The 27,632-nt window shown below is 36.2% G+C and overlaps 1 protein-coding gene across 14 annotated transcripts in view; it reads left to right on the top strand.

Moving 5' to 3' along the window:
- Positions 1-27,632, top strand: part of MCF2 (MCF.2 cell line derived transforming sequence) — a 126,398-nt gene that overhangs the window by 53,958 nt on the left and 44,808 nt on the right. For 8 of the 14 annotated variants that reach the window (NM_001099855.2, NM_001171876.2, XM_047442112.1 and 5 more), the window contains 7 exons: positions 2,422-2,490; positions 7,307-7,421; positions 8,552-8,642; positions 21,756-21,875; positions 22,699-22,815; positions 24,366-24,515; positions 27,454-27,587. In NM_001099855.2, coding sequence (NP_001093325.1) covers positions 2,466-2,490; positions 7,307-7,421; positions 8,552-8,642; positions 21,756-21,875; positions 22,699-22,815; positions 24,366-24,515; positions 27,454-27,587 — 752 coding nt within the window. In that variant the 5' untranslated portion in view covers positions 2,422-2,465. Of the gene's footprint in view, positions 1-2,421; positions 2,491-7,306; positions 7,422-8,551; positions 8,643-11,306; positions 11,743-21,755; positions 21,876-22,698; positions 22,816-24,365; positions 24,516-27,453; positions 27,588-27,632 lie in introns of those variants that run through there. The other 6 variants (NM_001171878.2, NM_005369.6, XM_047442113.1 and 3 more) reach the window with 2 other exon arrangements.

Raw genomic sequence — 27,632 nt, 5'->3', positions numbered from 1 at the left:
TTGCAAAAAACGAAAAATAGAACTACCATAGAATCCAACAATTCCACTCTGGGTACATATTCAAAAGAAAGAAAGTCAATATATTGAAGAGATATTTACACTCCCATGTTTATTGCAGCACTATTTACAATAGCCAAAATATGGACTCAATCTAAGTGCCATTCAACAGATGAATGGATAAAGAAAATATGGTATATATACACCATGGAATGTTATTCATACATAAAACAGAATGAAATCCTCTTATTTGCAGCCAAATGAATGGAAATGGTGGCAATTATGTTAAATGAAGTAAGCCAAACACAGAAACACAAATACTGCTTGTTCTCACTAATATGTGAGAGCTAAAAAAATGGATCTCATGAAGATAGAGAGTAGATTGGTGGTTACCAGAGGCTGGGAAGGGTAGAGGGGAGGGGATGAAGGGGAAAAAAGAATGTAAATATATTTATTACCACTGAACTGTACACTTAAAATGGTAAATTTTGTATGCATATTTTACCTTGATAAGAAATATAAAATAAAATGGAGGTAATGAGGTGAGGAGTGGGGAGTGACTTGTTGAAAATTACAGAGCAGCTAAGTGGTCAAGCCCACACTAGGCCCTGGTGCTCCCACTCCCAGCCCACAGACTTTTATTTTGGGTCCTGAGGCCTCTCTCATTACATGAGTGCTTAAATTGTAGAGTAAGTGGACATAGTTTCCATAGCTATGCAAGAGTCTGAGTGGTATCAGAGAATCAAGTTGTTCATATTAATACTTCCAGATCTGCCACCTGACATAAAATGCATCAATTCGTCTTTGTACTTGTTCCTACTGATCAAAGCAAGGGAGAAATTTGGGTCTCCTATTATGTAGGAATATTTTTATGTCTGATGCTTTCTCATTTAAAAAGTAGAACACATTTTAACTATTGCCACTTTTGCAGGCTCCTCAGGGGAGAAAGTGTTCTTGTATCTTTTGCATTACCCTCATTCTCACCCTTCTTCCATGGCTCCATGCCTGAAAATGTCAATATGTGACACATGTTTGTAGCTGTTATAAACACATTCTTTTATCTGATTAAACATCTAGCATGGAAAGAATAACTGCGAGTGTAAATGTGCATGCCTTGATCTGAAATATATCGAGTCTAAATATATAAAATTACAAGACATTTTTAAGAAATGACTTTATGTATTGACAAATTAGATATTTGTAATGGCATGTATCTTATGAAAATAAACATCAATTAAAATTGCTTTATGTTTCTAATCATGTGTCGGGGGGGTGTCTATAACAGATAACCTATTCCACTGTCTATTGTGGAACCATTGAGAACTTTTTTTTTTAATTCCCTTGAGGATTGTCCTTTATAAACCACATCCATGTGGTGTGATTTGAGGAGCACTGAGAAGGGTAATGCATCATCAGCCTGACACCACCAGAGACCAGGACTTTGAAGGCACTTTGTGTCAGAGAGCAGGTGAAAAACATGGCTTCAGTAAGAGATGTGAAACCACAGGCATTAAAACCGACAAGCCAAAATAGCCTAGTTTGATGACCCGTTTTCTTTTAAAAAGTTTTCCTTGTTCATGGACCAGAGGCAGGTAGTGTACTTTGATTTTTGGCCCCTATAGAGTTCACTAGAATTGAACATTGTAAGTTAACACTTAAGATCTGGGACAATCAAAGCACATTGAACAATGCATGGACATTGTTCCATCTGTAATGATAAAAAATGAGTTAATATGCTACTTTTTATTGAACACTTACCATTATGCCAGGTATTTCACATTTAGTTTGCATGGTACCTTGTGAGGTAGATATCATTATGCCCAGTTTATAGCTGAGGAAACTAAGGTTTAGAGAGGCTAACTAACTTGCCCGCGTTTGCATGGCCAGTAAATGCAACAAGCTGGATTTGAATCCACGTCTATCTAGACTAAGAAGCCTATATGGTTAACCACTTGTAAAATGGGATAACAGTACCTACCTTAGAGATTTTTTAAGGATTCAATAAGATTAAAAAATCCAAAAAGCACTTTGTAATTGCTAATAAAGCTTTGTAGAGTGAAAGGCATTATCAGAAGTAGAAGACAATCTGCTACAGTGTCTCCCCATGACCATCTACCCTTCAAATAAATCCGAATGTCCTGGAGTTTGTGCCTTTGTCCTTGGCTTTCTGGTGAGTGAGAGTAGTTTATGTTTTGGGCATAGATTCTGAGAAGTAGGTCACTGGTTCTACTTATTCAGTGATATTTTCGAGTGTGATTTCTTTGCCATGTAGTTGAGAGGAGGAAAGAGATCGACAGTGTCTGTGGACACAGACCTGTGGGGCTCCCAGAATAATTTTAGACACAGTGAGAAATCATGTGTCTAAAATCATGTAAGGCTGTACCTTAACATGTATGTCATTTCTTCTATTTTCGTTTGTCATAGAAACCGATCTGCTCCTCCGTATAAAGGACATCAGTCATTTCTTAATGCAAGACATCGCCTTCTTGTCTGGTAAGCAAACTTTCTTATATATAGTCCAGATAGATATATGACTTGATTAGCAGTTAGTTTGGTACCTATTATATAAATAGCTCGCTCTCTATATATAGAGCTATTATATATATTCATTTGAGAAGCACTATTTCAATAAACATTTGTACATTGTGCACCTAGTTGCTAAACAAATGGACATTTAGAGAATAATTGGAGGTTTTAAGCATTTTAGATATATGAGTAAAACCGACCTTACCACTCTTATACATTTGACTTTCAGACGAGTCTTCAGAAATCTATGATAGTTGAAAGTAGAATATGTCTCCTAGGTGGTTGCAGGCTGGGTGGGAGGGGAGCAGCTGAGGTAGCTTCTTTGATTACTCAAATGTGTATTACAAATGGTGGCAAGTTGCACTAAATAATCAGCATGCACTAAGTATTTTTTTTTAGGATTTCATTTACACATTATAAAGAAAGTTGATTTTTCTCAAAGATGTATATACACTTGTATATAATTTTTAGTAATTATGGTAAAATAAATTTAACATACAACTTATCATTTTAACCATTTTGAAGAGTACAGTTCAGCGGCATTAAGTACGTTTACATTTTTGTGCCACCATTGCCACCACCATCTCCGGAGTTTCAGGTCTTGCAAAATTGAAACTCTATATCCATTAAACAATTACTCCCCGTTTCATTCCTTCCTCTCTCTAGCCCCTGTCAACCGCAATTTTACTTTCTTTCTCTATGAATTTGACTATCTTAGGTACCTGATGTAAATGAATCATAAGGTATGTGTCTTTTTGTGACTGGCTTATTTCACTTAGCATAAGGTCTTCAAGTTTCATCGATGTTGTAGCATGTGTCAGAACTTCCTTTTTAAGGCTGAATAATAATCCATTTTATGTATATTCCACACTTTGTTTATCTGTTCATCCATTGATAGATACTTTGGTTGCTTCTACCGTTTGGCTATTGTGAATAATGCCGCTAAATAGCATTACCCATTTTTAGAGACGTAACTATGGTAAACCATCCTGCCCCTTTAGCTTCTGGTCAGACTTTGGGGAAAGTTTTGCTTAAAAACAAGCAAATTACTTTCAGGTATTAGAGTAATTTGAATTATATCATTAAATATTACATTTAGCATATTAAACAGATAAAGAAAACTTACTGGTATATATTAATACATTGTTTTTATAAAGACGAATGCTTCTTAGGAGTACAAGAAACTATCTTATTCCTTCTAAATAGTTTAATTAATTCTCTGAAAAATGGCACTCACATGCTCAGTTTACTAAACAAGCTTTTACTTTATAAGTGATCCTAATTAGACACTTCAATCTGGCCTCTGCTTTTATTATCATTATTATTATTTTTAAAGACAACTTCTTGCTCTTTTGTCCAGGCTCCAGTACAGTGGTACGATCATAGCTCAATGTAACCTTAAACTCCTTGGTTCAAGTGATCCTTCCACCTCAGCCTCCTGAGTCACTGGAACTATAGGAGTGTGCCACCACGCCTAGCTAATTTTTATATTTTTGTAGCAAAAGGGTTTTGCTATGTTGCCTAGGCTGGTCTTGAACTCCTGGCCTCAAGCGATCCTCCTATCCTGGCTTCTCAAAGTGCTGTGATTACAGGCATGAGCCGTCGCACCCAGCCTGGCCTCTGCTTTTAAATGATTATAATTATACCTATGATAAAGCTTAATTAAAAATGATTCTAATTAGTGGTAACTGTGAATTAATGATGACTTAATTAATATGGCTTTATGTTTTATTTTATAAGTGGCAGAAATGTGTGAGTGTCAGTAAATTTAGCAGTATGTTACGTTCACTTTTAAGTTTTGGAGATTTTACTTAAGATTATCTGTGTTTTCCAAACCGTGTTCTAAATAGAACCATCCTCAGGGCTTGCTGCACCCATCCAGACCCCTCTCTACACCTTTCCTTCCTTAACTGCTTTTTGTATTTGTTTTAAAAATGCTTCTACCTATAGCTTCCTTTGAAGAAAGGGTTCCCAATGGTAAAAAATAATTAAAACTTCCTGATTTGGAATGTAAATATCTCTTTTGATCTCTTCTCATAAAGTTTACTCGTAGGACAGTACTTGTAGGTGTTCAGTGGTAATAATCATTTATAGATTAGTCAATGATAATTTACTCTTATAGGAGCCTTGCCACCTTTCCTTTGATAAGTGTAGTTTGCCTAAGTGCTAGATGGTTCTGTCCTTAACTAGAGTGCTCACCAGCTTGCTTGGCAAGTATGTAGTTATATTTAAGATATTTATTACATTATATATTACATATCATTTATATTACTAGTTCTATACCATACTGTATCTATAGAGGCCCTTTGCTTAAAGATTCACTAAATCTCTTGGTTCAGAATTGTACAGTTTCTCCTTTGAGTTTTTTAAAAACTCTTCAGTGGATGCCATTATTCTCAGTGATTATTTTCACTCTACTCTAATTCTGGAATATCATACAGTGAAGATTAATAACCCTTTGATTTAATACTTTGGACTAGTTTGATTAAAAAATAATTTGGGAATGAATACTGTCTCTCAAGTTTCCCTTGGTAAATATTGAGGCAAATAATTAATTTGATCTTTTTCCATGTGCACTAGAGAAGAAAGTGTATTCTGCTTTTGTTGGATGGAGTGTTCTAGAAATGTCAATTAGGTCATGTTGGTTGAGACTGTTGTTCAGGTATACAATATCCTTGCAAATTCTTTGTCTACTTGTTCTATCAATTATTGAGAGATGGGTGGTGAAATATCTGACTAAAATTGTGAATTTGTCTATTTCCTCTTGCCACTCTATCAGTTTTTGCTTTGTGTATTTTGAAGCTCTGTTATTAGGTGCATAAGCATTTAAGATTATGTCCCATTGATGAATCGACCACTTTATCATGATCAAATGATCATTTTAATATCTGGTAATATTTTCGACTCTGAAATCTACTTTGTCAAATATTAGACAGCTTTGTTTTGATTAGCACTGTCATGGTATATCTTTTTCTATCCTTTGCTTTTAATAATTTGTACTTTTATATTTAAAATGTGTGTTTCTTGTGGGCAGCATATAATTCAGTCTTTCTTTTTATCCAGTTTGATGATCTTTGACTTTTAATTGCAGTGCCTAGATCATTGACATTTTATGTGATTATTCATATGGATGGATTTAAATCTACCATCTTACTATCATATAATAAGCAAAATACAAATAGTGAGATGGTAGCTTTTCCCATTTGTCCCATGTGTTCTTTGTTTTCCTCCATTTCTGTCTTCTTTTGCGTTGAGTATTGTTGTGATTCCATTTTATATCCTTTTCTTTTTCTTTCTTTTTGGGGGGGGCGTGGAGAGACGGGGTCTTGCTCTGTTGTCCAGGCTGGAGTGTAGTGGCATGATCTTGGCTCACCGCAACCTTTGCCTCCCAGGTTCAAGCGATTCTCCTGCCTCAACCTCCGGAGTAGCTGGGATTACAGGCGTGCACCACCACACCCGGCTAATTTTTGTATTTTTGGTAGAGACAGGGTTTCAACATGTTGGCCAGGCTGGTCTTGTACTCCTGACCTCAAGTGATCCTCTGGCTTCGGCCTCCCAAAGTGCTGGGGTTACAGGCATGAACCACTGTGCCCGGCCTGTATCCTTTTCTATTGTCATATTTTTATTGCAGATTGAATTAAAAATATTTTTACATCTTTATTCACTTAAATTCAGCCAAATAAAAATTACAACTGAACTAAAAAAATTTCTATTGCTGAGCTAATTTCAAAGGCCACCTTGCAACTTTCCTCCTAAAATAATTCTTCAGATTCTATTTGGCACTTAGTATTTATTGAGCATTCGCTCTCTGTGTAGGTGCTAGGCTGGCTGCAGATGTGAACCTTAAACACATGTAAGGCTCATCTCTGCACTTAAGTGGCTTTCGTTTTCAATATTTCTCATCCTTCAGGCTGCATAGAGGGCTATTGGGCTGGGTGGAGAAACGGGTAGAAACCAAAATGAAAGCCCAGAGCTGGTGCAATCATTCCCTCACCAAGAACCCCTATGACAGTTACCATTATTCCTGGTTCCTATGGAAATGGGCTTAGGGCAGCCTCACCTATGAGCACTGGGATCCATGCTTTCCAGGAGTCAAGGTCACCCACTTGGTCAAGATACTGCTGGATGCAACTGCTCCAGGTTAATGGCTGCATGGGTCTGCGGGGAGCTTCCACAACCCTACACCTCTGCCTGGACCCCTACCCAGGCTGAACATTGAATTTTGACCCACAGATAATTTGTGATCTTTCTTTGCATTAATAAAATTCCTATGTCATTCCTGCCATCATTCCTTTTGTTGTTTCTTCCATAAACACATTAGACCATCACCTATTTCCTATAGGGTGCTCTGTATCTTTTCCTGCTCACCATGACACTAAGAGATCGATTATATCAAATTTTCCACTTGCTGTCAAGCCATCATTCACTCATTTTAAATTTAGGCTCATTGGTATAGAAACAGTTATTTCCCAACCCCTTGGTTGTCCAGATTGGGGAATCAGCTATTTTCCACTGTATTTATTATATGCATTTCATGACATTTTCTTCTGACTATATTCATTCATTTTACTCTCTTTCTTTTTCTTTTTTTATTGAGAAACTACTCTGCCACCTTTTAAACTTAAAGTGTCAGGAACTTGGAGCCATTTTGGTTTTATGTGGAGATCATCATCTTTGCAAAAAAGTTGTGTTGCTGCAAAACAGTATTCAAATCTAAAATCCTCTTCTTGCTTCGTTGTTATATACATTTTTAATTCAGTTGATTATTTTTCTATTGTTGTAGGTGGCCGGGGAAAGGACAATGCTTGGATCATTACGTTTCCAGAAAACTGTAATTTTAGATGTATACCAGAGGAAGTAATAGCAAAAGTACTTACTTACCTGACATCTATTGCAAGGTATAGTATTTCATTACATTTTTTTCAATTCGCTTTATATCAGATATCCATCTGAATGTCATAACATGAAAATGGCTTAATATAGCTATTATTATCATGGTGAATAACCAACTGACTTAACTTCAGAGTAGATAAGAAGTACAACTTAGAAGGAGAAGCTGGCAGCTACCTAAATTGTTACAAAAATTATCCTGAGAATCTATGAAAATAAAATTGGGGATCTAGGAGTATTTGTTCCCATCAAAAAGAACATAGGTTGAGAACGATGGTCATACATATATGCTTTAATTTGCTTAAAAGGAAATATTACCAGCCAAGAGTGAGTACAGCCATTTTTCATTTCTTCTGAATATAACACAAGAAGACTGAATCTTAAGTAGATTCAATAGTGGTACTGGGAGATACTAGGAGGAATGTCTTGAAATTAAAAATTATTTGGAACTAGAATGCTTTAAAATGGAAAGTTTAAAAAGGTTTCTTAGAGATTTTATGTGTGTTAAAGACAAAATTTTCAAAGGAAGAATTTTCTAGTTACTAACCCTGAAGAACAAGAGGACACAAATCTAGGATGATAAAATTCAAAGTCTCATGAACAAAAATCAAATCTCAGAAAATGAAACTTACAATGTACCTATTGAAGCTTGAAAGTGATATTTTTAGGGCAAATAGAAGTTATATTTTCCATTAAACTGCATTTCCTCAGGAGCAGACTAGAGTTAGAAAAATAGATTTAGCAGTGTGATTTTGAATGAGTGAATGGATCATTGACTCATGATGGATTGCATGGAAAGTTAAATCTGATATCATGAAGGACACTTATCTTTTGAGTTTTCCCACACCCAAGATTACAGTATTCTAAATCAATTTTAGTGACCTATCTTCATTACACTATCACTTTCCTATTTAAAAGATTGACATTAATGCTGCAAAAGAAATTTTAAATAGTGAGTAAGGGAATATGTATTCAGATTAGTTTTCTAAGATAGGACTTTGTGATAGCTTTCCAATTCCAAATCTGTCTTCAGTCAAGACATCAAATGTAGATGAAATAATCAGAAATAGAATGAAGGCATATATAACAAATTTGCATTATTATTAAGAAAAAGTTCTTATTTCTTCTTATCGTTCAGGCAAAATGGATCAGACTCCCGGTTTACCATTATTCTGGATCGAAGATTGGATACATGGTCTTCTCTCAAAATCTCTCTCCAAAAAATCTCGGTAAGTATCTATGCATTATACAGTAACTTTTTATTTTTGTTTTATATTATACTTTCTGTTTTGGGAGGTATAGATTACTTTGGTACTGACGGAGACAATAAAAATTGATGGAATGTGAGGAGGGAAAGTAGAAGGAGAGGTTGTAGCAGAGACTGAGATAAATAACTCTACCCAAAATAAAACCTAGTAAGAATGAGTGAGTAGTTTGTGGCTCCAGTTATGAGTGAGAAGAGATTCATGGTTCTATGTGCCTTTCAGGACAAGGCAAGTTTTTATGGAAGCTTTTTAAAATTATTTATTTATTTATTTATTTTGGTGGAAATAGCTGTGTTGCATACTCGTATGTGAAAAAGTATAAAGAAGAAAGTTTAAAACAATAGTAATCCAACCACCCCAAAATAAGCAGTTTTTAACATTTCAGTGTACAACTTTCTAGATTTGTTTTACCCTAGGATAGGGTAGGGAGATGAGTCACATATAAAATGATATATAACTTCCCTACTGGTATCTAGTCCCCAGGTTCCCAAGACCCAGAGAGAGAAACATTTTCTCTAATTAAAATAACGAGAGGTACAATTCTGCCCATGACCAAGATAATCTTTTACACTTTTAGGCTCACAAGGGTATCACAAAATTGTTTGACACTTCACTTTCATAGACGAGGAGGGAGATGAGGGACCCCCAGACTCCTTCTGAGCTGGCAAGATATGGGCTCTCTGTGGAAGTGCCATGTGGCCAACTTCCTCTATCAGACTAGAATAGCTGGGAATCAATATATTTTTTTTCTTTGAGATTCCAACATTGCCAGCCATCTGAAATTCTTACTTTGTCTCCTGACTGATTGAGGAGGTCACGCCCACCACAAGAACTTGATTTAGTTGCAAAGGCAAAACAAAAATCTAGGTTGTTGGACTTCCAAGCCAATGTTCTAGCACTTGCAAGGTAAAATGGGTAAGATCATTATTCTTTTAATACTCAGAATGAATTATTCCTCACTTTGGACAAATAAGCAAAAAGTGGTTTCCTGTTTATTTAACAGAGGTGTTTAATCATTAGCAGTGGAGAGAAGAGTTAACATTAGATATACTCAAATTACTAAAATAAAATAGAAGAAAATTTGACTTTCTATAGCATATTAGTGCTTTTTCAAAAGCATTCACATTTATTAAGTATTGTTGATTCTCTTCATTTCCTGATTAAGTACTGCAAGTAGGTATCACTATAATTGTCTTATAGATGATGAAATCACATTGATATTTATACTTTGGAATGGCTATGTGATGAATCCAAGCTCAAATAGCCAAGTAACCAAAAAAGCCAGAGCAAGAATTGAAATGTCAAGAATTCCAGTTGGTGATGGTTTCTATCATTTTCCAATTGGCTTACAAATAGACAAATACATTCAATGTTATTTAGATAAAGGTAAAATTTCTTTTGAGAGATTAGATCTGTCCTCCATATACAATTGAGCCTTATCAGTGGGGCTAAATAAAGTAAAAGCTATTTCCCTTGCTCCGGTCTTTTAGGATTGGTCCTTGGGCTTGCTGAGTAGACCTTGGTTTATGCTAATAATTGCTTCTCTTATACTAAATAAAGCACTTGTTACATTAGAACATTTTTTATCACCCAGGTTTTTTTCTTTTGGCCAACACTGCACCCGCCTGATTAAATTAATTTTCATTTTGTGACTGGTTTGGCACCTGACGTTAGTTTTTTTGGTAGAGTTTTATTTTTATTATTCAAAATAGGTGGCTTGTAACAGAGGTTCTATTTTTCATAAAAGAGAAATATAAGATTAGGTCATGATCCTGTCATTTTGAAGTCAACAGAGGGTAATTACTTGTCTACCGGGGAGTGATACTCCTCTTTCTGTATTCCCAGGGCTGCTTTCTCAGTGGAGAATTTTGACCTATGCTCAGTAAAGAACTTGGATCCCAGGGTCCCTTTATTTTCATAACTGCCAAATTGATCGTGCTGGGCAAGGGAGGGGTACAGATTCTGACCACATGTAACTGGCTATAGGTTGTTTTAGGTGTTTCTTTTTTAACATGTTAAATGTTTTTGCTTGTGGTATAGTTTCTATACTCATACTCAAGAGCACATTAATTACATCTCAACCATTAGTAACTGTTGGTTACTGTTTGAAATAAAGGTAAATATTGAATGCAAGCTAATTTCAAGTGCAAAAGTTGGCATTCAGAAAGGATTTCTAGTGAAATCTACCATTGTGTAGCTAGGTATAATTGCCTGTGGTGTATTATTTCAAACAAGTGTCTGTGAAATAATCATACAATTCAATTTGAATACCTTTATTTGTAGATTTCAAAACAAATAAAAGCATTTAGGTTGTATTTCATAATTAATGAGAGGAGACTTTATTTTAGTTATACATTTTGGGGAAAGGTTAATTTGGGAGAGAATTGTATCCGTCTTAGAAAGTTTGCATGTTCTATTCTTTCTAGATTATTACCAGGACAAAATTTTGCAAACTATAGCCTTTCACAAGGCTTAAACCCAGAATACAATAACAGAGAAAACAAAACAGAATTGAAATTTAAGTCACATACCAGGGTAGGACGAGAGTAAAAAGCATGAGTTAATACTACCTTCACAAAGATTCTTAGCATTCCACCTTAAAAATCAAACTGCGCAGAGGAGAAAGCCAGTCCCATCAAGCCTGCTCCTAGGAAGAGAGCTGGTTTTTTTTTCCTCCTCCTTCCACTCTTAGGACATGCCTGATCTTCTTGAGCAGTCCAGCACAAGCTAATCCACAAGGTTCAATCAGGCTAAGTAATTGGAGGAATGTGTTAACTCTGAATTACAAGGAGCAGAAGGGAAGGATCTGTCAGCTGACTAATCAGGGATAGTGGTTTTTTTTTTTTTTTCCTCCCCAGCATTGCTGCCACTGTGCTAATGGAAGCAGCCACGGCAGCTTTGTTTGATAGAGATTTTTGGCTGCCGTTTTTAAATACTACCCAAGAAGCAGCTCGTATTTCATCAACGTTGCGTTGACAATTGGAAAAGAAAAGTGTAATTGCGTACAGGCGAAATGGCAGAAGCAAATCCCCGGAGAGGCAAGATGAGGTTCAGAAGGAATGCGGTAAGGGCTCTGTCTGCACTCCTGGAAAGCCTGTTCCCAAGTTCAAGTGCTGGGATGCTGCAGCATGGTGCTATAGCACAAACTGCTGAGTAGGGTTTTTAAGGACAGATGGAGAGAATGGAGACTTATATTTGCATGGATTGCATTGATGTGATTACTGTGATATTGACATAGGGTAATTTTCAGGCAATTGAGGGGGTAGAATATAATTTCAAAATCTAAATGTCATCAGGTTTATGAATGAGCACCTTAGTCATGTTATTCGTTTAAGACTGTATGAACAATTTTGAATCATTGGACAGCATAGCTTTAAATAATGACTTAAAACAATATCTAACAAAAGGATTCATCCTTTCTTTCACCATGATCAAGTAGAGTATATTGCCATGGATAGGTCTGGAGGGGATTCCATCATCACTTAAAAATGCAGCCTTTCCTGGGTGTTACCGTATAAGTGAATAAATTTAAAATCTGTAATGATTTGAAATCCTTATGGTTTCAATTCTTCTCCAAACTGAAACTTCGTAGGTACAAAATTGTCACCTGCTGACAACTTTTTTCTTTTAGGGAAAAAGACAGTAACTCACTTTTCAATATAGACTAGAATTTGGAAGTCTCTCCTCTCAGGTACATTTCATGCAGTCTTTTGCCTAAATTTTCCCTTCATTCATTTATTCATATAGTAAATTCCCAGCAAATTTCTAATGTGATCTTTAGATGTATTTTGGAGAAATGTTGAAATAACACTAGCTAATTTAATAAAAAACTAATCATCAAAAAGGCTTTAAATGCCACTCTTTTTCTTTCAAAGATTAATATAATGTTATTGATGTTATGGTTTAAAATATAAACTTGCTCACTAAAAATATCGAGATAACACACACACACAGATAAGAAGGTAAAAATTGACCATAGGAAAAAAATGACAGTTTGAATTAAAATTATGATAAGGAAAGTAAGACTTTTATTATTGTTGAATGACAGTGAACATCAATAGGTGTGTAAATGATTTATTTTCTAATAAAGCTCTTAGCACAGACTGCTATTTTAAAAACTATAGTTGGCTTTATTTTGACAAAATTATATCTTTGGCTCTATACATGTTTTTATATTATGAGAATATAGATTCAGACTTTTAACAGACGATTTATGGTGCACAAGAAATGTTTGTGTATGTACTTTGCAGTATTGTAGGCAACTGATATTAGCACTTTTGTTATCAAAGGTTAACTTAAGCTTTCAGAAAGTTCCTAATTATATATATACATATATTTATATATATATTTATATATATATATATTCTCAGTGCTGAACTTAGTTTTATGTCTATACACATGCATTAATATACACACAATAAATACAGCACAGGGGTACTCACTGAATAGACATATCTAGCACTGTGATATATACAACATAAGTTACAAAGGTAAATATGGAATGGCTACTGGGCTGAAGGAACTCTCAATCTAATAGAAAGGGTAAGACATGTTCGTAAATGACTATTTTGAAAAGAAATTCTGGCTGGTGGAGAAGGCCTTATACAGGAGATGGCATATGTTTGGGTGTTAAGTAAGAGTATATGTTGCTGTTACCTTTCCTTGATTCTTTCCTGTGTTTTTTTTTCTCATAAATGAATTAAGTGATATGTAGGAACAGATATGAGTGGGATTAATTGGATTAATTCTGAAGCCTAGAACTATAGTAGAAGACACATATGCTTTCCTTATATGGATAGGACTTGACCAGAGTAAAGAATTTGAACCTTAGCTAGTAAAAAAATGGTTTCACCTTGAAGGGTCTCTGGAATTGGGCTGATTCTGGAGGCTGTGGACAGGTAACATCTAAAAGGATGGTCCAATGCCACTTGAAGTCCAAAAAAATGTTTGAACTAGTTACTTGGTAGAAATTTCAATGACTGTAGCTGAGTGAGAGAGAGGGGAGGAGAATAGATATATATGTGACGAAAAGGGCAAACCACAAGGAAGGAGTATTGCTTTGGGCTATCCTCCTGACGTCACTTGACAAGTTGCTTGACAACTCATACTGTCTGTACTTTTTAAGGTGGGGATATGGGGGGAAGAGTGTGGAAGTGGCTCATACTGTTGCAAACTATTCTCTATAGCTTGAGGTCATGAGATTTTTTTCCCAACATATTCTGCAGAGATGGTTCAGACCTTATGAAAGTCAAGTGCCTGTCAGCATCTCAACATTTGTCTGACAGTAAATTATGATACTTTCCTTTTGGTGGACTGTATATGCTAAATTGTTTCCAGCAACTTGTTTCAAATGTTATTTGTCCCATTTTGGAAACATCAAGGTCAAATCATCCCTGAATGGCAAACAGTAAATCCGAGTGTGCATTCAGTCTATGAGGTGTTAAGTGTCTAGAAAGAGTTTGCCCTTAGGATCCAGATAGGCCGTACTACCGCTGCTTACCAACTGTGCTTCAGTTTGCTCCTCTGTAAAAAGGGAATAATATCCAGTTTACTGCAATGTTTTGAAGGCTAAATAAGATAATATATATATAAGAAGTCTGACACATACATAATGGCTTTTAGTCAAGGGTCTCTCTTATTGTTACTGCCTTTCTTTACCCTAAAGATTAAATAGGAAAAGCTATAGGAAAATAAATTATTTTTATAGTAAGTAACCAAACTTTTATGTTTTATAAGTTACTTTAAACATTCTAGAAATAATAACTAGAATAACTGAAAAGTGTGCATAGGGTGATGAATTGCCTCCCTTAGAGAGCACACACAAGAGTATTAAACAAGGTTAATTTCTAGACTTCGGTAGTGAAATGATGTATTTGGTTTACGCCTGCTCTTGTTGTTATTGTTGTTGTTACTGCTGTAAGATCATAGAACTAGGCAATCTGGAAGTACGTGTGAGTAAAAGGGAGTAAATCTGTTCTCTGGGAGGGAAAGATGAGAGGGAGCTTATTTTGTGCTCGTTACCTTGAAGAGCCTGTAAGAGCTGCTGCTGAGGGCTGGGGTGGGACCACGTACAGTGATTGGACACATGGCTCCGAGTCCTATGTGATAGGCAGCTGGTTCGCTTTTACTGAGATGTCTTTAAGCAGTCACATGCTGGAACTCCAGAAAAATGTCTGCGAGAACCTAAAACCAATGCTGTTTCCTCTCTCGTGCAAACTATTTTTTTAAAAAAGCAAAAACACATTGAAATAAAACAAGACTAACCTTTGCCCAAATCCCTTTGCTTTTTTGACAAGTTCTCAAAAATGAATTATACTTTCAAAATCTCAGTTTTTATTTTGGGGAAAAAGAAATTGTGCTTTTTCATGTTTATATAACCATACAGATTAGAGGTTCTTAAAGCAGCATACCCAAGAATTTAGAAATATAATATTCCCAAACCAAAATGGGAAAGTTCACTGGTCTTGAACTATATTTGCTTTGATATGTGCATCTGATACCCTATGCTGTTTGATTGTTCATTTAAATACTAGCTTTAAAATGGATTATCTTGAGAATTTTAGTTGTTACAAATATTGGTATATAGAGAAAAAGTACTCTCTATATATACTTATATGTATATCAACATAGATACATACAAACTAATCTTAAATGTATATGGCTTGTCAGGTTAAAATTGCTCAAGAGTGTTCTGTCCCCTCTAGATTCTCATAGCCGGCAATCACAGATAAGGACGTGTCCATATTATTGATATTGATTGATGTTCAGATCTATGAAGCTTTTTGGTTCAGAGGTTGCAAATTGTCAGTGCACAGATGCGTTTTGTTTAGAGTATGCAGCATTTTAACAAACTTTCAATTTGTTTTCCATCTTTAAACATCTGGGCTTTGCATGACAATCTGGATTTCTGTCTTCTCTTGAGAAACCAAAGAGTTGGCAATGCTGGGCCCACCTTGCCACATGACAACATGTAGCTGGAACTGATTTATGAGTGAACTGACTTATGAGTGCCCTCTGCTTTGAATGTTCTCCAGTTCACCATGGTCCCCACCACTTCCTGTTGCTCCTCGTCATATAGGAGGAGTATGAATTGCTATTTTCCACCTAATTTAGGCTGTTCTTTAATTAAGCCTACTTCACATTTACATTATCTCCCTAACACATGGTAGGCATTCAAGTTTGTCACCTCTGCTTTAGGTCTCAGGTTTAGATTCTCAACCAACCTGATTCTTGTGTCATCCCTGCTATAACTTCTGCAAATTCCTCTTGTTGACTGAGTCTAGTTCAACAGGCAGGTGAAGCGGGGTTTTAATTCTGCTACTTATGTGCTAGAAGGTCTTGAAAAATTGCCTGACCTCACAAAACCTCAATGTGTTAGTTCCCTATTGCTGCTGTAATAGATTACTACAAACTTAGTGGCTTAAAACAGTGAAAATGTATCATTACGGTTCTGGAGGTCAGAAGTCCAAGATTACCCAACTGGGCTAAAAATCAAGGGTCAGCAGAGCTGTGTTCCTTCTGGAGTCTCTAGAGAAGAATCTGTTTCTTTGACTTTTCTAGCTTGCAGAGATCGTCCACATTCCTTGGTTTATACCCCTGCATCACTTTGACCTCTGCCATCACATCTTCTTCTCTGACTCTCCTGCCTCCCTCTTATCCTAATGATTACATCGGTCCCACCATGATAATCCCGGATAATCTCCCCATATCAAGATCCTTAATCACATTTATAAAGTCTCTTTTACCATATAAGATAACATATTACCAGGTTCCAGGGATTAGGATGTAGACATCTTTGAGGATAATGGCACTCAGTTTCTCCAGTTGTGAAATGAGGACAAAAATAGAACCTACTGCATGTAAATACTTAGCACAATGTCATAATAGTGCTCTTTATGGGCATAATTCTAGTAGTATGCATTCAATAAATGACATTTCCACCCCTGTCCAACTCTCCAATCTCCTTTCCCTACCTTAAAGCTTTGAGAGGTCCTGAATATATAAATATACATAAATATACGTATTTTTTTTGCTAAAGAGAAGCTATGAAAAGTAGTCATAAATGTCATACTTTAAAAGTGTGACAGTTTGGTAGGCACCTGTTATGGTCTGGGTTAAGTGAATGGGAGTGGGATTAAAAATTCAGGTATGTCTTATTCACGTGTGGGCACGAGGGATGAAAACAACACACCTGGTCTAAACTATATGATTTAGTTTTCTAGAAAAATAACTGACAAATCAGATGAATTGTTTGAGTGCCACCTGATTGCTCTGATTGCTTAGTAGTTGTGTAGCTATTGCCTACAAGTTATTTAGTCTCCCAAATGGCTACTAAAATTGGGAGTAACTATTGGGTTAACAGAATCCATGTGCTCTAGGAAGATATGCAAAAAAGATTATAAAATTGTACTATAAACTATAACAAAAAATATTGTAAATGTTATTATGTAGTCAATAAATGAAGTTTTCATCCTTTGATGGTGCATTTTCTTTAAAAGCCCAAGTTTTTCTGGGCTTTTTGTGACAAGTGAATTACTAAACATTTTGAAGGAATTAAGGAATGAGAAGGTATGCTAAGATAATCAGAAGGTTTTACTTAAGAATGAACTGATTAGCATATAGAATTATCTTTAGAAGCAACTTATATAGCCGTCAATGTTTGGGATAATCCACTTTATTAAATAGAGCAATAACAGGTTTAATAAACATCCAACATAAAATCCCTAGCTTATGAGCAGCTGAATACCCCTACCCCTGCTTAAAATCACTTCCCCACTCATCTTGCAGACGGTGATTTTCCTTCTCTCTCCTTTCTTTCTACTTTGTTCCCTGCTATGTGATCAGCTGTCTCTGGACCTGGCTGCTGGTACAGCCTTGCTCTCCTAGGAATGGCAGAGTAGAGAGCAGGGCCTTACCTCAGGCAGAGAGTTGCTACATAGCTCTCTCTATTCCCATAGTATCCTCCCATCCCCTCCTCCCTCACACATAATTTTGGAGATGGGTGAGTACCCCTGGCTTGAAGTCAGCCCCAGGTTCTTGTATCCAGATAATTCTAGATACAAGAGAATATGAGATTAAGGGAAGTCAGAGAGAGAAAGATGAAACCAGATCAACTTAGAATCCATGAAAGAATAAAAGTAATTTTGCTTTAAATGTTGGCAAAAGTAGGGTGCTTTCAATTTCATTTAAAAGTGAAAAAATAAACAGGTTCAAGGCAGGTGAGTATAATAATATAATGGGAATTTACCCAGGTGAAGAAAAAGGAAAGGCTTAACTCCTAAAATTAAGGGAGTAAAAATAGAATCTGTGCTTTCCACTTAAAAATAGGCCAAAAGTTCCCACAAGTCCCTGTCAGATTCTTCCCTTAAGCTAGCCTTTATCCATATCCCTAAAGTTTTCTACCCAAACCTGCTTGTTCTGACGTCCGAGAATCCAAGGCAAAATTTTAAAACTATCTTATTAATATTTTTTACAGTTTAAAAAGTGCCTTTTCATGTCCTTGGCCCACTTTTTAATGGGGTTGTTTGTTTTTCTCTTGTAAATTTGTTTAAGTTCCTTAAATACTGCATGTTCTCACTTATAAGTGGGAGCTAAATAAGAAGTTATGAACACAAAGAAGGAAACAACAGACACGGGTCTACTTGAGGGTGGAGGGTGGGAGGAGGGAGAGGAGCAGAAAAGATCACTATTGGGTACTGAGCTTAATACCTAGGTGAAGGAATAATATGTACAACAACCCCCACTGTGACACGTGTTTGTCTCTGTAACCTTTGCATATACCCCCAAACCTAAAATAAAAATTTTAGAAGTGCCTTTATATTCATTATTTCTTTTAATTCCTGTAATAACTGGAAAACATATATATATATTTTTTTTCGGCAGAGTCTCACCCTGTTGCCCAGGCTGGAGTGCAGTGGCATAATCTCAGATCACCACAGCCTCCACCTCCTGGGTTCAAGTGATTCTCATGCTTCAGCCTCCCCAGGAGCGGGGACCACAGGCGTGTGCCAACACACCCGGCTAATTTTTTGTATTTTTAGTAGAAACGGGTTTTCACCATGTTGGCCAGGCTGGTCTCGAACTCCTGGCCTCAAATAATCCTCCCACCTCAGCTTCCCAAAGTGCTGGGATTACAGGTGTGAGCCACCGTGTCCAGCTGGAAAATACATATTATACTTAACATAAAATAAAATATACATTACGTACATAATAGAAGGTAGGATATACATTACCGTTGGAACTCTCTGTTTCTCTGTCTCTCTCTGTTTCTGTATACATGTTAACTTTATTCTTTTCAATGTTTCCCCAGCAGCAGGGCTCTTGGCAATCTGCTGCTTTTGAATGGCATCCTCAAAGTTTCCTTCACTCAGTATTCGTTTGAAAATTCTAGGGCAGGACTTCTTTGGCCCTGCTTACATCAAATGTTCATACTTATGTTTTTTCTTTTTCTTTTTTAAAAAGATGAGGTCTCGCTCTGTCGCCATCATGGCTCACTGCAGGCTCAACTTCCTGGGCTCAAGTGATCCTCCCGCCTCAGCCTCCTGAGTAACTGGAACCATAGGCGCATGCCACCATGACTGGATAATTTTTAAATTTTTTGTAGAGATGGGGTCTCACTATGTTGTCCAAGCTGTTCTGGAACTCCTGGCCTCAAGTGATCCTCCATCCTCGGTCTCCTAGCCTGTTGGGATTACAGGCATGAATCACCATGTCTGGCCCTAATCATACTTCTAATCACTATTAATCATTGTGTGTTGGAAGGGCAGGGCCGTGTAGGAAAATAAGAGTTCTCATTTGGAACCAATGTGTAGAATAATAGAAGGGGGAGTCGTTTCTCAGATGAAGGGAGAGAGTAACAGTCATGGCCTCCTGGGGGAATTATGAGTTGGACAGCCATCCCAATTTATGTATATTGATAATCATTGTTTAATTTATTGATTTAATTTTATGCTCTTTTAATTTACTTATTTGTGCTTATCACACTCATTTCTCTTTCATTTACTCTAGTTCTCATTGCCACTTAACATTTTATGTTTTATCACCATCTCAAATTGAATTAGGAAAATCCCCAGTTTTGAGCATCATTTCCCAAAGAGTCTATGTTTTATACCCTGGTGGAAGTTACTTTTTTCTTTTATTTTAAAATAGACTTTATTTTTTTAGAGCAGTTTTAAGTTCACAACAAAATTTAACAGGAAGTACAGAGAGTTCCCATAAACTCCTTGCCCCACAGTATCTTATTCTTAGTTTATAGTTTTGTTTAATTACTAGTATTGTAATATGCCTGAAATATAATTGCAGTTGGAACATTTTTCATATATTTTGCTCTATTATGCTCTAATCTGCCATCTTGAGGCTGATGGCTCCTGATTCTCCACTTTTAGCCTAGACTTCTTTCCCTTCTTAATTGTACAAACAGCTATCCGAAGGACATCATCTGGATGTCCTGCTGACCCTTCCAACCTAACGTGTATATGAATGGAGATCAGAATCTTGTTTCCCTTCTTAAAACCTGTTTCTCTTGTGTTTCCCATCTCAGTGAAGGTTGTACTATTCAACCAGTTACTCAAGCCCCAAATCTGGAGTTTGATCCTCCTAGTACCTCCTTTCTCGGCAAGTACATCAAGTAGTTATGTCTTGCTGATTGTGCCTCCTAAATTCTACTCTTATTCCTGGTATCATTACTTTAGTTCAGAAACTCATCATTCCTGGCTTGGATTACTGTACCAGCCTCCTAGCTCATCTGTCTGCTTCTACTCTTGTTCAAATCCAGTTCTTCCCAAAGCCAAAGTGATCTTTCTAAAATGCAAATTTGACCATGTTGTTCTGATGCTCAAAACCTTTTAGAGACTCCCCTTACCTCCAGGAAAAAAAAACCCATGATCCTTTCTGATGTGGTTCTGGCCCGTTTTCCCAACACCATCTCCCATTGTCCCCCAGTGTCATTTCATCTAGCTCTCTTGACTAGGGCCTTTTCAGGAGGTGGAGTAGTTTAGTGATTAAGAGCACAGACTTAGGGGCAAATGAAGGCTTTGCCAGCTGGGGGAAGGTATCCTTAAACTCTCTGAGTCTCACTTTCTTTATTTGTAAAAGTGAGTAACCTAACTCCTTCATAGAATTATTATGAAAAGAATTTATGATAATATTGGCAAAATGCTTTGCACAGAGTAAGCATTTAGTACGTGGTGATTTGTTATTAAAATTGGGATATGTTACTCCGTTCTCCACTTATTTTGCAATGTGTCCTCCTTCTTTGTCTTTTGAATTCTTTAGTGTAGCAGTTATTTTTGACTGCATACTATGTGCCAGCAAGTTCTAGACGCTGGGGAAACATTGGTGAACTAGAACAACATTCTGATCCAGTTAACTCCTCGTTATGCTTCAAGATCTTTTTGACCTTCCTATGTCTCGGAGAGTTTGTGCTATCATTTCCCCTTGTATATTATTCTAATTCCTTTGATTACTTATCAATTTAGTTAAAGAATTGCTGATTAGTAATGGACTCTGCAGTTGAACTGTTGGGTAGAGATTGTGTTTTCTTAATTTGTGAACATTCAATGCCTAACAGAGCTTGATATTCATTTAAATACATGAAGTAGACACATAGAAGATGTTCAGTAAATATTGATTGGATTAAAATAAAAATATAATCCCATAATAAAGTTTTCTTTCATTGTTTAGTGTAAATACACAGACAAAAACCCTTTGACTTTTAGGGTTATCCTAGGAAACTGCCACCTAATTCTATTTGTTTTTATAGGAAATAAGTGCAATTTGAGTTCAAATAACTCTAAAATAAGATTTAGAGTCTATTTCTTCATAAGGTTGGATCTACTTCTTTAGTGTGAGAAAATTTCGTACCAGAAGTGTTGCAAGGATCTGACCTGGAGCCTTACATTATTTTTCTATTTGCATGTTTTTAGATTTTATCAATATCCATTTGTAAAGTGTTGGCCTTTTACTGGCTTTTATGAATTTAAAATTTGTTTCCTTCAGTTACATATTTTCTGATATGTGCTCAGTTGAGTGTGTGTTGACAATTTTTTTTCCAATTTCTTTTGTTCTTTCTTTCTACAGGCTTCCTTCCCTGGGAACTTGCACTTGGTTTTGGTTTTACGTCCTACCAGCTTTCTTCAACGAACGTTCACAGACATTGGATTTTGGTTTAGTCAGGAGGATTTTATGCTTAAATTACCAGTAAGAGTATATTATTTAAATGTTTTGTTCCTCTAATTCTCATGAAGACCTGTACCATGCTGTTTATATTTTACATGTGCCCATGTGTCATTTAAAAGAAAAAAATTAAAATGTCTTTTAAAAGTATACATTTGAAATGCCCAAAAGTCTTTCACTTCTACCATTTGAAAAAGAAATCGATTCATCAATTTATAACAAAGCAATTACTTTTGCAAAAAATATATGTCATATATGTTATATATATGTGTATATATGTATGTGTGCATGTGTGTATATGTATGTGCGTGTATGTGTATATAAGCAGGAAATTTTATTTTTAGTAAAATTGAGTGTATGTTTTATGTATTTGAACTCCCGTGAACTTACATCCTGAGCTAGTCCAGAGTACCATGACTTTTTAAAAATATTTTTGTTTGTTTTTAAGGTTAGGAATAGGGTGCTCATAAATTTTGATACTTTTGAAAAGGTCAGCCCCTCCTGATAAATTATAACTTACTACATAAAGTCCTTTTCTTTGTTGTGAGCATAGCATTCTTTTAGAAGCTGGACCATTAACAATGCAAACTTTTAGATGGAGGAAAATTAGGCGTTTTGGTTTCTGTGGAGATTGATTTAGCTTTACAGAAAATGTTTTGTAAATAGAAACTGTTATTATCTGAAGAAGGTAGCGCATACATGTATGGGGGCATGTACAGGAGAGAACTGTTAAAACCATTTATCAGAGGTAACTTTCTGCTAAATGTATGCCAAAGTTCATTTTACAGTTTAATGGAGGGATGGCATGAAGGGCAGTTAACAGTATCTTTTTTGCTTATTTATATAGGTTGTTATGCTGAGCTCAGTTAGTGATTTGCTGACATACATTGATGACAAGCAATTAACCCCTGAGTTAGGCGGCACCTTGCAGTACTGCCACAGTGAATGGATCATCTTCAGAAATGTATGTTGTCTTTGCCCTTACTGTAGAGCCTATAGTTCTTCATGTTAGCCTTTAAATCTAGTTCTAGAATTCTTTCCTATTTGAAAAAAACAAAACAAAACAAAACAAAAAAACCCCAGCTTTCTGGGCCCTCATTTTTCACATACATATAAATTCAACATCTTGGTTTTCTTCCATAGGCAATATCTAGAAATGATGAGCAGTCACTGAGGATGGCAATTGAAGGAGAATCCTAGGGAATAAGGAGATCATACTCTGCCCATCCCCTCCTGTGGCTATATAGTAACTTGAAGAAATGAAGGGTTTGGATTCAAATCCTGGCCCTGCTGATTTTTAGTTATATGACCTTGGTCAATATACATAACCTCTCTGAGTCTTAGTTTTCCTAACTGCAAAATGGGACTAATAATACCTTACCTCACAGGGATCTTAAAAAGACTAAATGAGATAGCAAAAGTAAAATGTTTTACACAGTGCCTAGCATATGGCAAACCGTCAATAAGTGCAAATAGTATTATTAATCTCATTATTCTAGTGATGCTTCTGAGGCATTTAAATTTGTAGCAAAGACTGTACTTCTGTTTTAGAAATTTACAAATAGGCAAGGGCCCTGCACCTCCCAAGTATGTCTGTGGTATATGAGTATCTTGACTTCTAATCCCAGAGATAGGGGAACCCTTCTGAAGAAATTAATGATGTCCCATTAAATTAGGATTCCATTTTCCTCATACTTGTTCTTCACTCAACATTTCATTCATTAATTCATTTAACAATGCATTCATTCAACAATTCATTCATTCACATGAAGATGTATTGCCAAAATTAGCAATGCCTAGCCTTTAATAACCTGTAATGCTATAAATAAACAAGCAAATATTTTGATATGCATGGTTAACAGATGGTCATATGGTCTCTACATTTTGCCCTTCTTTCTCAGAGTAATTGATTTTAGAAACAAAAGAAACAACAAAACCGTACTTACCATTTTATGGCAACAAAGGCTTTGGGGCCACCATTCCAAATATTCTATAGTACCTGAAATGAGTTGTTGTGACTAGTTTTTCCCCCGTTTCCTTCAATTATCACCTTGTTTGGAATGCTAATGCTTATTCACAAATGATAATAAACAAATATAAAGTGACTTTACTGTTCTCATCTCTCTTCAGAAGTAAGGTTATTATAAGGCAATTTTGCCAATTGGAGAGTTTATAGAATAAGGAAAATACTGTAATTTTCAAGAAAATAAAACAAACTACTCAATACATGGCATCTTTAAGAAATAGTTTTCATTAGTGTCCAAGAAATAAGTCAAGAAATTTGGATAAAAGATATTCAGGAAGACTCTTAATCTTCCTTCAGTTTCTTAGAGTTTTAGATGAAGAGTTACAGTTGATTGCCAAGAGCAATGCCATATTTCTCTAGCAGAGGAGAGTTCATAGTATATGTGTTTGCCGTTATACCCCCAATAAAAACAAATACACTTACTGATCCAGTTTTTGATATGCTCACAGAGTGACCATATAATTAAAGTAATCACCGGCTCTTTGCAGGCTATAGAAAATTTTGCCCTCACAGTGAAAGAAATGGCTCAGATGTTACAGTCCTTTGGAACTGAACTGGCTGAGACAGAACTACCAGATGATATTCCCTCAATAGAAGAAATTCTGGCAATTCGTGCTGAAAGGTATCATCTGTTGAAGGTATGTCTGATAGAGTTGACAAACAAAAGATTTCCATGGTCTTTATCTAGAGAGGTGTTTATTATCTCCATTTTACACTGACTGTTGCATAAGGGGAGATAAAAGACATTTATGTAATATATTTAAAAACTAAAAAAAATTATACTTTATAAGAGAAGACTGTCCTGGATATGTTAGACCTAAGTGTCCCCTCCGTAAATGGTGCATTAATTTGAGAAGTTATTTAAAAACATCTTATAAATGCTGCAGAAAAAGAAATATAGTCTTTTGTTTTACTATGTGCGGTCATGTACTGCATAAGGTTGTTGTGATCAATGATGAACCACATATATGACAGTAGTCCCATATGATTGTACCATATTTTTACTGTACCTTTTCTATGTTTAGACATGTTTAGATACACAAACGTATACCGTTGTGTTACAACTGCCTACAGTATGCCTACAACTGCCTACAGTATACAGTACAGTAACATGCTGTACAGGTTTGTAGCTTAGGAGCAATAGGCTATACCCTGTAGCCTAGGTGTCCAGTAGGCTATCCATCTAGGTTTTTGTAAATGCACTCTGTGATGTTCACAAAATGATGAAATTGCCTAACAATGCATTTCTCGGAACATATCCCCAACATTAAGTGATGCATGGCTGTATTTTTTATTTTTGAGGAGGAGTCAGGAGGCCGAGTTTCTAGTCCCATCTCTGCTGTGAGCTAGCATTGTGACCAAGGCTAACATTGCTCAATTGATTGTAAGTTCTCTTCTCTGCAGAATACTAGGTCTTGATGTTTCCTACAGTAGACCAGGGGTTGCAAATTGTTTGTGCTCTCCTATCCAGGTCTTTGTGGAGTGTTGTTTTGTGAAGGATTCTGAAGTGCAATTCAGATAATCAGCAAGTATTTTTTGGATCCACTTTCTTCAGAAAGTTTAAGAATAATCTGAACAAGCACTGGGCATTCATATAACTTGTCTCTCTCATCTGATAATAGACATACTGTGTGCATTAGAAGATTAAAGCTGTATATAGAGATATGTGTTTAAATTAAAAAGATAAACTGAGTTTTTTTCCAACTTTTATTTTAGGTCCAGAGGGTACATGTGCAGGTTTGTTACATGGATAAATTGTGGGATGCTGAGGTTTGGTGTACGAATGATCCTGTCACCCAGGTAGTGAGCATAGTACCAGATAGGTAGTTTTTCAACACTCTGCCTCCTCCCACCCTCCTTCCTCTAGTAGTCCCCACTGTCTATTGTTCCCATCTTTATGTCCATGTGTACCTAATGTTTAGCTCCCACTTGTGAGAACATGCAGTATTTGGTTTCCTGTTCTTGCATTAATTTGCTTAGGATAATGGCCTACAGCTGCATCCATGTTGCTGCAGAGGACATGATCTCGTTCTTTTTTATGACTGTATAGTATTCCATGGTGTATGTGTACCACATTTTCTTTATACAGTCCACCATTGATGGGCACCTAGGTTGATTCCATGTTTCTGCTGTTGTGAATAGTGCTGCAATGACGTATGAGTGCATGTGTCTTTTGGTAGAACAATTTATTTTCCTTTGGGTATAAACCCAGTAATGGCAATGCTGGGTTGAATGGTGTTCTGTTTTAAGCTCTTTGAGAAATCTCCAGACTGCTTTCCACAGTGACTGAACTAATTTACATCCCCAACAAGTATGTGTCAGTGTTCCCTTTTCTCTGTAGCCTCTCCAGCATCTGTTATTTTTTGTCTTTTTAATAATAGTCATTATGACTGGTGTGAGATGGTATCTCATTGTGGTTTGATTTGCAAGAAACTGACCTTTTGAATCACAATCTAAAAACAAAGCTCTGTCCAAGGAAAGAAAGCTCTGTTTTTCACAAACTGCATGTTGTCAGGCAATTTGCTTACCTTTTCTGAGTTGCAGTTTCTGTATCTTTACAGTGAGGTTGGTGATGATGATGATGCATCATACCTGGTAGGATTGCTGTGAAGATGAAATGAGGCAAAGAAACTGATCTATGTATAACAATGTTCCGTACATAGTTGGTACTTCGTAAATATTGGCTTTTAATGTTGATATTATTACCCATATTGGTGATGGTGTCATGGAATCTGTCCTCAGAATAAATGTACACCAAAACTTTTGCTTACAATTTCAAGGGACTCTTGGACCACCTGAAAGAAATCTTAAATCACTCTTAGATGTCTGAGAAAGGTCTATATTGTTACACCACCCACTGAGGTTAAGCCCTTCTGAATAGAGGCATATACTTCTTGATGAGTTAATTAAACCTAAATGTGAAGTAAAATAAGACTTAAGGCAGGGAGTGATTGGTAACAATTAAGGATTAGTAGCAAAGGCATTTAACTGTATCTGAATATGCATTAAGTATTATTTGCAATTGTATGCTTTCTACTGTGGTGGTTTTTATTGTGCTACTACTGCTTTATTTGAGCTCATTAAAAGTGTTAGCAGAACAGTGCCAGGTGCAGTGGTACATATTTGTTGTCCCTGCTACGCGGGAGCCTGAGGCAGGAGAATTGCTTGAGCCCAGGAGTTTGTGTCCAGCCTGGGCAACATAGCAAGATCCCATCTCTAAAAAAGTAAATAAAAATAAAATATTAGCAGAATAGGATGGACTGGATTGGAACTTTCTACCAGTTAGAGAAGGAGGCTACAAATAGAGCACATGGTACTTCTGCCCATGATGATCTTATAAAAACATTAATTGCAACGTCCATCTCTAAGGCAAGGGCTTCTTGGATCTTCACAGCTTTTAGATTTTGTGGCACTGAGATTTTGAAATTTTGTGAATTTTCAGAGAGCTATGAAAGCAAAGGCCATTCTAGAATTAACTGTTTCGATTCTTCATGCCATAGTTGTATGCTCCCTTCCCATCACATCATTCAGGTTGGATTACTAATTAGGTGATACTCCTTTTGTGTCTTTGGACAGAATGATATTACAGCTGTAACCAAAGAAGGAAAAATTCTGCTAACAAATCTGGAAGTGCCTGACACTGAAGGAGCTGTCAGTTCAAGACTAGAATGTCATCGGCAAATAAGTGGTGACTGGCAAACTATTAATAAGTGAGTACTCTCTTTTTGGTTTAGAGTTACTTATTTTATATTTTT

Source organism: Homo sapiens, chromosome X (genome assembly GCF_000001405.40).
Source record: "Homo sapiens chromosome X, GRCh38.p14 Primary Assembly".
NCBI lineage: Eukaryota > Metazoa > Chordata > Mammalia > Primates > Hominidae > Homo > Homo sapiens.
This window is presented reverse-complemented; position numbering and strand designations above follow the sequence as displayed.